Source organism: Homo sapiens, chromosome 3 (genome assembly GCF_000001405.40).
Source record: "Homo sapiens chromosome 3, GRCh38.p14 Primary Assembly".
Classification (NCBI taxonomy): Eukaryota; Metazoa; Chordata; class Mammalia; order Primates; family Hominidae; genus Homo; species Homo sapiens.
Window position 1 is genome coordinate 100462533 of NC_000003.12, and position 15923 is coordinate 100478455.

The 15923-nt window shown below is 42.9% G+C and overlaps 4 annotated features.

Moving 5' to 3' along the window:
- Positions 3453-3762: an enhancer, noted in NCBI's record as "active region_20160". NCBI's record gives its function as "activates an Ori minimal core promoter by ATAC-STARR-seq in GM12878 lymphoblastoid cells {active_cell/tissue: GM12878}" and the evidence as "EXISTENCE:reporter gene assay evidence [ECO:0000049][PMID:35858748]".
- Positions 3453-3992: a biological region, named in NCBI's record as "H3K4me1 hESC enhancer GRCh37_chr3:100184868-100185368".
- Positions 3492-3992: an enhancer, noted in NCBI's record as "H3K4me1 hESC enhancer chr3:100184868-100185368 (GRCh37/hg19 assembly coordinates)". NCBI's record gives its function as "activates a minimal SCP1, AML or CMV promoter by ChIP-STARR-seq in naive and primed H9 embryonic stem cells {active_cell/tissue: H9 hESC(naive and primed)}" and the evidence as "EXISTENCE:reporter gene assay evidence [ECO:0000049][PMID:30033119]".
- Positions 14343-15028: an enhancer, noted in NCBI's record as "NANOG-H3K27ac hESC enhancer chr3:100195719-100196404 (GRCh37/hg19 assembly coordinates)". NCBI's record gives its function as "activates a minimal SCP1, AML or CMV promoter by ChIP-STARR-seq in primed H9 embryonic stem cells {active_cell/tissue: H9 hESC(primed)}" and the evidence as "EXISTENCE:reporter gene assay evidence [ECO:0000049][PMID:30033119]".

A 15923-nucleotide genomic window follows, 5' to 3' on the forward strand; every position in this document is an offset into this window, starting at 1 on the left:
TTCGACCAATCACAGATCAAAAACATTCAAAAATAAAACCAATAATAATAATAATACAACAATAAAAGACCATCCAAATAAAAACAATACAGTATAGCAACTTTTTGCATAGTGTTTACATTGTGTTAGGTATTATAAGTAATCTAGAGATGATTTAAAGTATGTAGGAAGATGTGAATAGGTTATATGCAATTACTATGTCATTTTATATAAGAGATATGAACATCATCGGATTTTGGTATCTGTGAGGATCCTGGGCCAACCTCCTGTGCATACTGAGCGACGACCATATACAGTTTGAGAGTGTGACTCTAAACAAGCAGGACCCTAAAACTTGAATTAATTCTGCCTATTGTAGGCCAAACACTGTCATAGATGACTCTCTCACAATGAAAAACTGTATTTGGAGTTGATATTTTCCCTCCTAAAATGGAAACTTTTTTTGCTTATAAAAGTAATAGCTGACACACTTTCAAGTAATGCAGAAAACAGTATGACAGCCTCCCAGAAAAGCCAAGTGTTGTTATGACCTTAATACAGCTCATTATTACTGTCAAGACATTCTGGTTACTCTACTCTAGGGGGCAGACTTGAACCAGCATTTGGACAGGTAATGCTGGACGCAAGCCTCAGTGTTTGGCCAAAGACAAAATCACTATCGTTACGTTTTTCTTTTCTTTCTTTCTTTCTTTTTTTTTTTTTTAGAGTCTGTCATCCAGCCTGGAGTACAGTGGTGTGATCATAGCTCACTGCAGCCTTGAGCTCCTGGGCTCAAATGATCCTCCCCACTCAGCCTCCTAAAGGGCTGGGATTACAGGTGTAAGCATCAAATCTCTTAAAAGCTTCTTCACTATCATGAGAAAAACATGGGGGAAACTGCCCCCATGATCAAATCACCTCCCACCAGTTCCCTCCCTCAACACGTGGGGATTACAATTCGAGATGAGATTTGAGTGGGGATTCAGAGCCAAACCATGTCAGATGGTAAACAAAAATCAAAGAAAAATATAGCATAATGTCATGAAGAATCAAAAACAGTTAGGAAATAGAGATAACGGGAATGCTTTTTAAGAGTGAGTTTCCAAAAAAGCCTGTCTGATGAGGTGGTATTTGAGCTGAGGTATGAATGAAATGAGGGAAAAGGGTCTCAGGCAGCAGCGCAGCAGTGTAAAGGCACTAAGGTAAGAGCTTGCTTGGCTTCTTTTAAAAATAGCAACATATTCCTGGAAAGGAGTGCATGACAGGTGTGCAATGGAAAACGAAGCTGGAAAATGCAAAGGGTGGATAATCTGTTACCTAGGTGGTTGTTATTCTAAGTGTCATGGGAAGCTATTGGAAGGTTTTGAGTGAATCACATGGTGTGACAATTTCAGGGAGGGATACATCACAGAGGCAATATTGCTATGCCACTTCAGACATATTAGCATGCTGCTTTCCCAAAGTTCCGTCATTAGTCATTGTTAGCTCTGTGGCTAGAAGACAAAGAAGAGTTTCTTGAAGTGGGAAAAGAAATTATGGTACTCTCCTTCTAAGTTGAGAATATCCTCTTGGCAAACAGCATGGTGCATGAATAGGTTTGTTGAATGAGTGAAAGAAATAATGAATGAAACAACAGTGAAGGCATTTTTTTTTTTGAGACAAAGTCTCACTCTGTCATCTAGGCTGAAGTGCAGTGGTGCGATCTCCTCACTGCAACTTCTGTTTCCCGGGTTCAAGTGATTCTCCTGCCTCAGCCACCCTAATAGCTGGGATTACAGGCATGCCCCAACATGCCTGACTAAGTTTTCTATTTTTGGTAGAGATGGGGTTTTGCCATGTTGGCCAGGCTGGTCTCGAACTCCTGGCCTCAAGTGATCAGCCCAGCTTGTCCTCCCAAAATGCTGGGATTACAGGTGTGAGCCACCATGCCCAGCCAGCAAAGCCATTTCTTAAGTATTATAAACATCTTGAAACAGTTTCCTCTCTGCTTTGCTAATTCATGGATATTTACTAAGGGCTGCATGTACTGCAGCGTAATAGGTGGGGCACACCAAGATGAGTGAGACACAGTCCTTGCCTTCAAGGAACTTCAATTTTTGTTGGAAAAATAGACATATACACAAAACAGAATGCTTATATTGAGATTTTGGCTGAGGCATCAAGATACACAGCTGTCCTTCACTATCCATAGGGGATTGATTCCAGGACCCCCTGTGGATACCAAAATCCATGGATGCTCAAGTTTCCTATATAAAATGGTGTAGCATTGGCATATAACCTATGCATATCGTTCTGTATACAGTTGACTTTTGAACAATGTTGGCTTAAACTGTGCAGGTCCACTTATAAGCAGATGTTTTCAACCAAACACAGATGGAAAATACATTATTGAGGAATGTCAAACCAGTGTATATGGAGCACCAACTCTTCTTATACGTGGGTTCCAAAGGGCTGACTTCAAGACCTGGAGTATGCATGGCTTTTGGTGTACTTGGGAGTCCTGGAACAAATCCCCCACATATAACAAGGAATAATAACTGTACTTTTAATCATTTCTAGGTTGTTTATAATACCTAATACAATGTGAATGCTATATAACTAGTTGTTATACTGTATTATTTAGGGGATAATAAAAAGAAAAACAAATTTGTGGATGTTCAGGGCAGACACAACCATTTATCTTTTCTCAAATATTTTTTCATGGTTGGTTGAATCCCTGGATGTGGAACCCACAGATACAGAGGGCTGACTGTAACAGATGCTATGTACCAAAATTAGGAGTTTTGCAAAATTGATAAAATACCTAAATGTAAACCTGAAACTATAAATTTCCTAAAAGAGAACAAAGGGAAAAAGTTTTTGGACACTGGCAGTGGCAGTAATTTTTTGGATATCATACCAAAAGCTCACTATAAAAGCAAAAATAAATAAATGGGACTATATCAAACTAAAAAGCTTCTGCATAGCAAAGGAAACAACAAAATGAAATGGCAACCTACAGATTGGGAAGAAATATTTGCAAACTATATATGTATAAGGGGGTTTAAGCTGCCATATGAAGAAGCCCGTGGGGAAGGAATTGAGGGTGACCTCTTGCCAGTAGTCATCAAGGAAATGCCCTCATTCTGAAAACCTGCAAAGAACTGAATCCTGCTAACAGCCATGTGAACTTGGAAATGGATCCTTCTTTAATCGAGCTTCACATGACTGACAACTTGATTGCAGCCTTGTTGATAAATACCTAGGCAGGTAGGGGTGGGTCCCCGGTGAAATTCAACCTTCAAGTCAGAAACAGTCCCAGGTAAATCCTTGAACCAGATTGAGAACCCGCCCTCCTGTTTGGCGTGCTTTCCTCTGATTGATACTCAGCCTTCAACTATTTTACATATACCTACCCTTTCCTAATTGGTTTCCTACACTATCATGCCCATTTTTAAGTGGTGTCTTTGACTTTTTTGCATACTCACAAGCTAATCAGCACGCACTCCCTATTCTGAGCCCATAAAAAGCCCTGGGCTCAGCCATATTGGAAACTCTCTTACCTTCAGGCAGGGGAACTACCCCTGTGTAACTTCCCCACTAAAAGCTGTTTCATCACTCAGTAAAACTTCCTGCCTTGCTCACTCTTCCAGTGTCCATGTATCTACTTCTTCCTGATTGTGAGACAAGAACCCAGACCAAGCTGAACCTTAGTTCAGAGCAAAAAATTCTGCATCATTTTGGAGGCTTGTCTGGCATTTGTCAGAAGGTTGAGTAAAATGTGGACCCAACAATCTCTTTCACTTTTGTTTCTGAGCTTTCTTATCCTCAGACTTTTTCGGAAGGCAGGGGATACTGCAACCTGCCCCCTGCCCCCCTGTTGCTCTCAGGGGTCAGGAATGTTGGCCTTTGTCCAACCCAGTCTTTTCTATGGCATTTTCCTTCTTTTTTCAGGACTGTAATGGCACCTATCTTTTAGTGGGCATGTTCCACCCCCACCCCAATGGCCACAGGCATGCACACAAGACAGATTGGCAAGCTCCCTGCCCTGCTCCCCTCCTGGCTGGGGCACACAGCACAAGGGTCCCTCATGGCTGGCTGGCCAGCATTTCTCACTTGCCGTCCCCTCCTGCTAGGTGCCCAAGGAGTCTTTCCTCCCCTTGCTGAGCCAAGAAGGAGGAGACAGCAATTAAAAGTTTCTTTTCCTGTTGAAGAAACCCACTTGCATAAGAATAAATAAGAGGTTTCTACCCAAGGCATCTTCCCAGCCCTGAACTTAAGCTTTTTTTTCTTCCTTTTCTCCACCCTGTCAGCAGTTAACACAGCCCTGTAGATATAGGGAGTTTTCTATGCAAGAGTTTTTTTTCCTCCTTTTGGAAGGCATCTTGTTAGGCCACAGGACACCCTTTTTCGCTCCCTTGTTTGAAGAGGACCCAGCTCCTCAGCTTTACCTTAGCATTTGGCTTATGGTAAGGAGGCAGCAGAGGAGCAGTCCCGCTGGCTGCTGGCTGCAGTCTGGCGAGGGACACCTGGGACTTGATGAGTCCATGTACCCACTGAGGCAGTTCTTTTGTCCCAAACTCAATTCCAAGCTTAGAGTTGAAGACTCAGGATAGAAAATTGAATATGAGGGGTCCAGAGGCAGACAACAATGGAAGTTAAAATGCAAAGCATAAGTGACCATGGCTAATTCCTGCCAATCAAACCAAGCCTCCTGTTTCATGGATAGAGGTCATGCCTGTATCCATGGCATAAATGAGGCCTAGGGAACTCAAAGGTTATGACAACAGGCAGGGACAGGGCATATGTGGGTGAGTTCAAATATTCCCACCCCCTTGGCCCTTCTGTTACTATGAGTGAAAGCCACATTGGCACCCATGGGTGGCACCTTGTCAAGGTCGCTGGGACTCAGATACAAGGACATAAGAAAGAAAAGAGATGCCTATTTTTTCTCTCCCTCATGTACCCTGGGTATTCACTGGGAAGTAAAAGGAATTGGGGATGGCTTATCCACTCTTCCCAGCTGGGTAACAATTCATCTTCCCAAAATGGGGTCAGTAGCACTTGCTCTGTTTTAGTCCATGCACCCACTGAGGCAGTTCTTTTGTCTAAAGAACCATTCATCTTTAGTTCGTACCCCCCTTGAATGCATCCTGAGTCCTGGGGGGGCATCTTGGAAAAAAAGCCTTCTTTTTCCTTTTTCCTCCTCTGTCCTCTCTTTGTGGATGGGTAATTGCATCCCCATACTATAGGACACTCTCCTCAGATGCATCCTCTAAACTAGGAAAAATTAATTTACCAAACCTTAAACTGCTTGGCTTAGAATTGAGCTCAGGGGAAGGGAACCCAGAAGCCTGACATGCCAGCAAAAGGGTAAAAGTTTTTTTTTTACCCAGTCAGACTTTTGGCCTTGTTAGGCCAAAGTCTTTTGGCCTCACTCTTGCTGTGCAAACCGATAGAAAAAATGGTGAGGATAACTGCTTATATTCTCCATAAAGTTTTGATTAATGAAAAATGATTTATGAGGCTTGTCTTAAGCTATAGCCAATCTGGTGTGCTTTGTGTGTTTTTCTGTATGGTTCTGTCAGAAAGAGGGGTGCCTTAGGATAGAATGTTGGCCTAGGACCCTATATGCCTGCTGTTCAAGTTAGCCCAACAAACTGGTCAGTATCAAACTTTGCTGCAGGCCACCATATTGTTTTATGTCCTTGGGAGCTTGAAATGTAACCACGTGGCAGTACTTAACTTTAGTCTCTGCCATTTTACAATGGTGGCCTGTGTTCAATCCTGGCTTGGAGAATGAGTACTTTCAAGTAAACAGCTGTGTGACTTCTACCATTTGCTGATTCTCTTCCCATCCATGAACAACTTCTAGCTTCCATTCTCTGAGTTACCTTTAGAGGTTCTAGATTTTGTAAAAACTGCTTACCACCTTTTTGAATATATACCTCATACATTCATAGTTAAGTCATAACCTTAATTGAAGCTTGTTGGTTTCACCTGTGAGGTTACTTTTGGTAAAGTTCAAAAGCCAGAAATGTTGGCGGGTTCACATGGCTAAGGTTGGGTAACAAGGGATTTAAAAGGATTTTCTTAAAGAATGCTCAGCTTAATTAAAAGTGGATATCAAAGCTATAGGTATATTTAAGAGACCTTTATGTTTTTCTGGAAAAGGTTTTTTTCTCAGTTGACTGAATTACTTTTCTCCATTTTGTCTTGCCACTCTTAATGCACACATGAGAGGCCGTAGATAACTTCTCGGCACATGGGACTCTTTGGGAAAAACAGAGAGAGTGCCACTGACCCCATTTTGGGAAGAAACCTCTGTTTTCCTCATAGAACCCCAGGAATTGAAAGTGGATAGATCCCTCTCAAAATCTATTTTTTTCTTCCAGCTATGCCTGTTTATTGGTCCCTAGAAACTGCATGCTTTCCTAGCCTTGTGTATTAGTTGGTTTTCACACTGCTGATAAAGACATACCCAAGACTGGGAAAATTATAAAGAAAAAGACTTTTAAGGACTTCTAGTTCCACCTGGCTGGGAAGGCCTCACAATCATGGTGGAAGGTGAAAGGCATTTCTTACGTGGTGGTGGCAAGAGAGAGAGCTTGTACAGAGAAACTCCCATTTTAAAAACCATCAGATCTCATGAGACTAATTCACTGTCATGAGAACAGTCCAGGAAAGACCCATCCCCATGATTCAATCATCTCCCACCGGGTCCCTCACACGACACATGAGAATTATGGGAGCTACAAGATGAGATTTGGGTGGGGACACAGGTCCAAACTATGTTATTCTGGCCCCTTCCAAATCTCGTATTTTCACATTTCAAAACCAATCATACCTTCCCAACAGTCCCCCAAAGTCTCAACTCATTTCAGCATTAACTCAAAAGTCCACAGTCCAACATCTCCTCTGAGACAAGGCAAGTCCCTTCCAACAATGAGCCCGTAAAATCAGAAGCAAGTTAATTACTTTTTAGATACAATATGGGTACAGGCATTGGGTAACTACAACCATTCCAAATAGGAGAAGTTGGCCAATACAAAGGGCTACAGGACCCATGCAAGTCTGAAATCCAGCAGGGCAGTCAGATCTTAAAACTCCAGAATGACCTCCTTTGACTCCATGTCTCATGTCCAGGTCACGCTGATGCAAGAGGAGGGTTTCCATGGTTTTGGGCAGCTCTGCCCTTGTGGATTTTCAGGGTACAGCTTCCCTCCCAATTGCTTTCACAGGCTGGTGTTGAGTGTCTGCAGCTTTTCCAGGCACACAGTGCAAGCTGTCAGTGAATCTACCATTCAGGGGTCTGGACTGGTGGCTGTTTTCTCACAGCTCCACTAGGTGGTTCCCCAACAGGGACTCTGTGTAGGGGCTCTGACCCCATGTTTCCCATCCTCACTGCCCTAGTAGAGGTTCTCCATGAGAGCCCCACCCCAGCAGCAAGCTTCTGCCTGGGCATCCAGGCATTTCCATACATCTTTTGAAATCTAGGCAGAGGTTCCCAAATCTTAATTTTTGACTTCCATGCACTCACAGGCTCAACACCATGTGGAAGCTGCCAAGGCTTGAGGCTTCCATCCTCTGAAGCCGTGGCCTCAGCTCTACGTCAGCCCCTTTCAGCTGTGATTGGAGCAGCTGGGACGCAGGGCACTAAGTCCAATCCTGCACACAGCATGGGGACCCTGGGCCTGGCCCATGAAACCATATTTTCCTCCTATGCCTCAACCTCTGGGCCTGTGATGGGAGAGTTGCCACAAACATCTCTAACATGCCCTGCAGACATTTTCCCCATTGTTTTGGTGATTAACATTTGGCTTCTTGTTACTTACACAAATTTCTGTAGCTGGCTTGAATTTCTCCTGAGAAAATGGGTTTTTCTTTTCTATCACATCATCAGGCTGCAAATTTTCTGAACTTCTATGCTCTGTTTTCCTTTTAAAACTGAATGCCATTAACAGTATCCAAGTCACGTCTTGAATGCTTTGCTGCTTACAGATTTCTTCCGCCAGGTACCCTAAATCATATCCCTCAAGTTCAAAGTTCCACACATCTCTAGTGCAGGGGCAAAATGCCCTTAGTATCTTTGCTAAAATATAGCAAGAGTCACCTTTGCTCCAGTTCCCAACAAGTTCCTCATCTCTATCTGAGACCACCTCAGCCTGGATTTCATTGTCCATATCACTATTAGCATTTTGGCCAAAGCCATTCAACAAGTCTCTAGGGAGTTCCAAACTTTCCCACATTTTCCTATCTTCTTCTGAGTCCTCCAAACTGTTCCAGCCTCTGCCTGTTACCCAGTTCCAAAGTTGTTTCCACATTTTTGGGTATCTTTTCAGCAGTGCCCCACTCTACTGGGACCAATTTACTGTATTAGTCATTTTTCACACTGCTGATAAAGACATACCTGAGACTGGGTAAATTATAAAGAAAAAGAGGTTTAAGGACTTACAGTTCCACATGGCTAGGGAAACCTCACAATCATGGCAGAAGGCAAGTAGCATTTCTTACATGGTGGTGGCAAGAGGAGAGCTTGTACAGGGAAACTCCTGTTTTTAAAACCATCAGATCTTGTAAGACTAATTCACTATCTGAGAACAGTGTAGGAAAGACCCACCCCTATGATTCAATCATCTCCCGCTAGGTCCCTCCCACAACACATGAGACTTATGGGAGCTACAAGATGAGATTTGGGTGGGGACACAGAGTCAAACCATATTATTCTGATTACTCTGTTTCTTGAAGGGCTCCACCCTGAGGTCAATAATCAGATTAGGAGATTGGCAAATGAAAAGTGTTACAACTACTGGATCTTCTTCTGTCTGTCTGTGTAATCATATATGTGTTATATATGTGATGTTTATATAAAAAAGAGCTCTAATTAATTGGCTTAAAGAAAAATAAGTGCTTAGATCAAATATTTTTTGAAGGAAAAATAAAAGCTGTAATGCCTTTTAGTTCATGTGACTTTAATCTTTGAGAAATAGAGGCAATTTAAAGGTAATTGGTAAAATACAAATGTCATAAAAATGTAAATATGTGGGCTGAATCATGTAGGTCAGATGCTAGATTTGCTAAATGTTTTAAGGTTGTAAACTGAACTGCTTCTTTGGCCTTTGAGAATTGTTCAACTAGCCTGCTTTACAACTTGGTAAGGCCTGGGGACATATGAAATTAACCATGCGCTTAATTATACTGGAAGTAGTCAGAGTTGAATTGGGGCCTAGTGCATAATTAAAGCAACTTATCAGATTTTACATTAAAGTTAAAAATTGCTAAGAGTTACCATTATAACACGTAATTGAGACAACTGAAAATGGATTTACATACAAGGTGTGTAAGAACTGTAAAATGTGTTTTTAGTAAAAGATTATAAGAAGGCATAGAAACGTAAGTTTTTGCCCACGGTTAAAGGATTGTTTTGAATTAGCTGAGATAAAGCTGAAGGTTTAAACAAGTTGTAGAAGGATTGTAAAAAATTAATCCTGCAAAAGAAATTTTGTGCATGAACATATTGACTAAATTCATAAGGGTATTGTATGGTTTTTCCATAAATTGTGCATTGAAATAAAAGCACAACAAAGTTCTCTTAAGGCACAAATTTGCTCTCTAGCAAAATTTGTAAAGAATTATCAGAGGTTTATAAGAATCTCACCTCATGGTCAAACTGGTAAAATTTGATAGAATTGTCTATAAGGTTTCATTAGAAAATTCGGGTTGACATTAATAGTAGACTAATGCAAGGGTAAAATTTGGCTTTCTCTCTTGAATAAGATTTTCATGTAATAGTAAAGGATAATGAAAGTTTGTTTGCTTTTTTAAAATTTGTCAATTCTTTATTGACAATTGAATTGGAGGATAAAAATCTTTCTAAGTTACTGTGATTTTTTTTAAAATTATACTTTAAGTTTTAGGGTACATGTGCACAACGTGCAGGTTAGTTACATATGTATACATGTGCCATGTTGGTGTGCTGCACCCATTAACTCATCATTTAACATTAGGTATATCTCCTAATGCTATCCCTCCCCTCTCCCCCAACCCCACAACAGGCCCCGGTGTGTGATGTTCCCCTTCCTCTGTCCATGTGTTCTCATTGTTCAATTCCCACCTACGAGTGAGAGCATGCAGTGTTTGGTTTTTTCTCCTTGTGATAGTTTGCTGAGAATGATGGTTTCCAGCTTCATCCATGTCCCTACAAAGGACATGAACTCATCATTTTTTATGGCTGCATAGTATTCCATGGTGTATATGTGCCACATTTTCTTAATCCAGTCTATCATTGTTGGACATTTGGCTTGGTTCCAAGTCTTTGCTATTGTGAATAGTGCCACAATAAACATACGTGTGCATGTGTCTTTATAGCAACATGATTTATAATCCTTTGGGTATATACCCAGTAATGGGATGGCTGGGTCAAATGGTATTTCTAGTTCTAGATCCCTGAGGAACCGACACACTGACTTCCACAATGGTTGAACTAGTTTACAGTCCCACCAACAGTGAAAAAGTGTTCCTATTTCTCCACAACCTCTCCAGCACCTGCCATTTTCTGACTTTTTAATGATCGCCATTCTAACTGGCGTGAGATGGTATCTCATTGTGGTTTTGATTTGCATTTCTCTGATGGCCAGTGATTATGAGCATTTTTTTCATAAGTTTGTTGGCTGCATAAATGTCTTCTTTTGAGAAGTATCTGTTCATATCCTTCGCCCACTTTTTGATGGGGTTGTTCTTTTCTTGTAAATTTGTTTGAGTTCATTGTAGATTCTGGATATTAGCCCTTTGTCATATGAGTAGGTTGTGAAAATTTTCTCCCATTTTGTAGGCTACCTGTTCACTCTGATGGTAGTTTCTTTTGCTGTGCAGAAGCTCTTTAGTTTAATTAGATCCCATTTGTCAATTTTGGCTTTTGTTGCCATTGCTTTTGATGTTTTAGACATGAAGTCCTTGCCCATGCCTATGTCCTGAATGGTATTGCCTAGGTTTTCTTCTAGGGTTTTAATGGTTTTAGGTCTAACGTTTAAGTCTTTAATGCATCTTGAATTGATTTTTGTATAAGGTGTAAGGAAGGGATCCAGTTTCAGCTTTCTACATATGGCTAGCCAGTTTTCCCAGTACCATTTATTAAATAGGGAATTGTTTCCCCATTTCTTGTTTTTGTCAGGTTTGTCAAAGATCAGATGGTTGTAGATATGTGGCATTATTTCTGAGGGCTCTGTTCTGTTCCATTGGTCTATATCTCTGTCTTTGTACCAGTACCATGCTGTTTTGGTGACTGTAGCCTTGCAGTATAGTTTGAAGTCAGGTAGTGTGATGCCTCCAGCTTTGTTCTTTTGGCTTAGGATTGACTTGGCGATGCGGGCTCTTTTTTGGTTCCATATGAACTTTAAAGTAGTTTTTTCCAATTCTGTGAAGAAAGTCATTGGTAGCTTGATGGGGATGGCATTGAATCTATAAATTACCTTGGGCAGTATGGCCATTTTCACGATATTGATTCTTCCTACCCATGAGCATGGAATGTTCTTCCATTTGTTTGTATCCTCTTTTATTTCCTTGAGCAGTGGTTTGTAGTTCTCCTTGAAGAGGTCCTTCACGTCCCTTGTAAGTTGGATTCCTAGGTATTTTATTCTCTTTGAAGCAATTGTGAATGGGAGTTCACTCATGATTTGGCTCTCTGTTTGTCTGTTATTGGTGTATAAGAATGCTTGTGATTTTTGCACATTGATTTTGTATCCTGAGACTTTGCTGAAGTTGCCTATCAGCTTAAGGAGATTTTGGGCTGAGAGGATGGGGTTTTCTAGATATACAATCATGTCATCTGCAAACAGGGACAATTTGACTTTCTCTTTTCTAATTGAATACCCTTTATTTCCTTCTCCTGCCTAATTGCCCTGGCCAGAACTTCCAACACTATGTTGAATAGGAGTGGTGAGAGAGGGCATCCCTGTCTTGTGCCAGTTTTCAAAGGGAATGCTTCCAGTTTTTGCCCATTCAGTATGATATTGGCTGTGGGTTTGTCATAGATAGCTCTTATTATTTTGAGATACGTCCCATCAATACCTAATTTATTGAGAGTTTTTAGCATGAAGGTTGTTGAATTTTGTCAACGGCCTTTTCTGCATCTATTGAGATAATCATGTGGTTTTTGTCGTTGGTTCTGTTTATATCCTGGATTACGTTTATTGATTTGCATATGTTGAACCAGCCTTGCATCCCAGGGATGAAGCCTACTTGATTATGGTGGATAAGCTGTTTGATGTGCTGCTAGATTTGGTTTGCCAGTATTTTATTGAGGATTTTTGCATCGATGTTCATCAGGGATATTGGTCTAAAATTCTCTTTTTTTGTTGTGTCTCTGCCAGGCTTTGGTATCAGGATGATACTGGCCTCATAAAATGAGTTAGGGAGGATTCCCTCTCTTTCTATTGATTGGAATAGTTTCAGAAGGAATGGTACCAGCTCCTCCTTATACCTCTGGTAGAATTCGGCTGTGAATCCATCTGGTCCTGGACTTTTTTTGGTTGGTATGCTATTAATTATTGCCTCAATTTCAGAGCCTGTTATTGGTCTATTCAGAGATTCAACTTCTTCCTGGTTTAGTCTTGGGAGGGTGTATGTGTCGAGGAATTTATCCATTTCTTGTAGATTTTCTAGTTTATTTGCATAGAGGTGTTTATAGTATTCTCTGATGGTAGTTTGTATTTCTGTGGGATCGGTGGTGATATCCCCTTTATCATTTTTTATTGCGTCTATTTGATTCTTCTCTCTTTTCTTCTTTATTAATCTTGCTAGCAGTCTACCAATTTTGTTGATCTTTTAAAAAAAACCACCTCCTGGATTTACTGATTTTTTGAAGGGTTTTTTGTGTCTTTATTTCCTTCAGTTCTGCTCTGATATTAGTTATTTCTTGCCTTCTGCTAGCTTTTGAATGTGTTTGCTCTTGCTTCTCTAGTTCTTTTAATTGTGATGTTAGGGTGTCAGTTTTAGATCTTTCCTGCTTTCTCTTGTGGGCATTTAGTGCTATAAATTTCCCTCTACACACTGCTTTGAATGTGCCCCAGAGATTCTGGTATGTTGTGTCTTTGTTCTGGTTGGTTTCAAAGAACATCTTTATTTCTGCCTTCATTTTGTTATGTACCCAGTAGTCATTCAGGAGCAAGTTGTTCAGTTTCCATGTAGTTGAGCGGTTTTGAGTGAGTTTCTTAATCCTGAGTTCTAGTTTGATTGCACCATGGTCTGAGAGACAGTTTGTTATAATTTCTGTTCTTTTACATTTGCTGAGGAGTGCTTTACTTCCAACTATGTGGTCAATTTTGGAATAAGTGCGGTGTGGTGCTGAGAAGAATGTATATTCTGTTGATTTGGGGTGGAGAGTTCTGTAGATGTTTATTAGGTCCACTTGGTGCAGGGTTGAGTTCAATTCCTGGATATCCTTGTTAACTTTCTGTCTCGTTGATCTGTCTAATGTTGACAGTGGGGTGTTAAAGTCTCCCATTATTATTGTGTGTGAGTCTAAGTCTCTTTGTAGGTCTCTAAGGACTTGCTTTATGAATCTGGGTACTCCTGTATTGGGTGCATATATATTCAGGATAGTTAGCTCTTCTTGTTGAATTGATCACTTTACCATTATGTAATGGCCTTCTTTGTCTCTTTTGATCTTTGTTGGTTTAAAGTCTGTTTTATCAGAGACTAGGATTGCAACCCCTGCCTTTTTTTGTTTTCCATTTGCTTGGTAGATCTTCCTCCATCCCTTTATTTTGAACCTATGTGTGTCTCTGCACGTGAGATGGGTCTCTTGTATAGAGCACAGTGATGGGTCTTGACTCTTTATCCAATTTGCCAGTCTGTGTCTTTTAATTGGAGCATTTAGCCCATTTACATTTTAGGTTAATACTGTTATTTGTGAATTTGATCCTGTCATTATGATGTTAGCTGGTTATTTTGCCCATTAATTGATGTAGTTTCTTCATAGCATTGATGGTCTTTACAATTTGGCATGTTTTTTCAGTGGCTGGTACCAGTTGTTCCTTTCCATGTTTAGTGCTTCCTTCAGGAGCTCTTGTAAGGCAGGCCTGGTGGTGACAATATCTCTCAATATTTGCTTGTCTGTAAAGGAGTTTATTTCTCCTTCACTTATGAAGCTTAGTTTGGCTGAATATGAAATTCTGGGTTGAAAATTCTTTTCTTTAAGAATGTTGAATATTGGCCCCCACTCTCTTCTGGTTTGTAGGGTTTCTGCCAAGAAATCTGCTGTTAGTCTGATGGGCTTCCCTTTGTGGGTAGCCTGAACTTTCTCTTTGGTTGTCCTTAACATTTTTTCCTTCATTTCAACCTTGGTGAATCTGACAATTATGTGTCTTGGGGTTGCTCTTCTTGAGGAGTATCTTTGTTTTTGTTTTTTTATTTTTATATTTTTTATTTTTTATTTTTTTATTTTTATTTTTATTTTTTATTGATCATTCTTGGGTGTTTCTCACAGAGGGGGATTTGGCAGGGTCATAGGACAACAGTGGAGGGAAGGTCAGCAGATAAACAAGTGAACAAAGGTCTCTGGTTTTCCTAGGCAGAGTGTGTGTGTCCCTGGGTACTTGAGATTAGGGAGTGGTGATGACTCTTAACGAGCATGCTGCCTTCAAGCATCTGTTTAACAAAACACATCTTGCACTGCCCTTAATCCATTTAACCCTGAGAGGACACAGCACATGTTTTAGAGAGCACAGGGTTGGGGGTAAGGTCATAGATCAACAGGATCCCAAGGCAGAAGAATTTTTCTTAGTACAGAACAAAATGAAAAGTCTCCCATGTCTACTTCTTTCTACACAGACACAGCAACCATCCGATTTCTCAATCTTTTCCCCACCTTTCCCCCTTTTCTATTCCACAAAACCGCCATTGTCATCATGGCCCACTCTCAATGAGCTGTTGGGTACACCCCCCAGACGGGGCGGTGGCCGGGCAGAGGGGCTCCTCACTTCCCAGTAGGGGCGGCCGGGCAGAGGCGCCCCTCACCTCCCGGACGGGGCAGCTGTCCGGGCAGGGGGCTGACCCCTCCACCTCCCTCCCGGACGGGGCGGCTGGCCGGGCGGGGGGCTGACCCCCCCACCTCCCTCCCGGATGAGGCGGCTGGCCGGGCGGGGGGCTGACCCCCCCACCTCCCTCCCGGACGGGGCAGCTGGCCGGGCGGGGGGCTGACCCCCCGACCTCCCTCCCGGATGGGGCGGCTGGCCGGGCGGGGGGCTGACTCCCCCACCTCCCTCCCAGACTGGGCGGCTGGCCGGGCAGAGGGGCTCCTCACTTCCCAGTAGGGGTGGCCGGGCAGAGGCGCCCCTCACCTCCCGGACGGGGCGGCTGGCGGGTGGGGGGGCTGACCCCCCCACCTCCCTCCCGGATGGGGCGGCTGGCCGGGTCGGGGGCTGACCCCCCACCTCCCTCCCGGACGGGGAGGCTCGCCGGGTGGGGGGCTGACTCCCCCACCTCCCTCCCAGACTGGGCGGCTGGCCGGGCAGAGGGGCTCCTCACTTCCCAGTAGGGGCGGCCGGGCAGAGGCACCCCTCACCTCCCAGACGGGGTGGCTGGCCGGGTGGGGGCTGACCCCCACCTCCCTTCCGGACGGGGTGGCTGCCAGGCGGAGGGGCTCCTCACTTCTCAGACGGGGCGGTTGCCAGGTGGAGGGTCTCCTCACTTCTCAGACGGGGCGGCCGGGCAGAGACGCTCCTCACCTCCCAGACCGGGCGGTGGGGCAGAGGCGCTCCCCACATCTCAGACGATGGGCGGCCGGGCAGAGACGCTCCTCACTTCCTAGATGGGATGGCGGCCAGGCAGAGATGCTCCTCACTTTCCAGACTGGGCAGCCAGGCCGAGGGGCTCCTCACATCCCAGACGATGGGTGGCCAGGCAGAGACGCTCCTCACTTCCTAGATGGGATGGTGGCCGGGAAGAGGCGCTCCTCACTTCCTAGG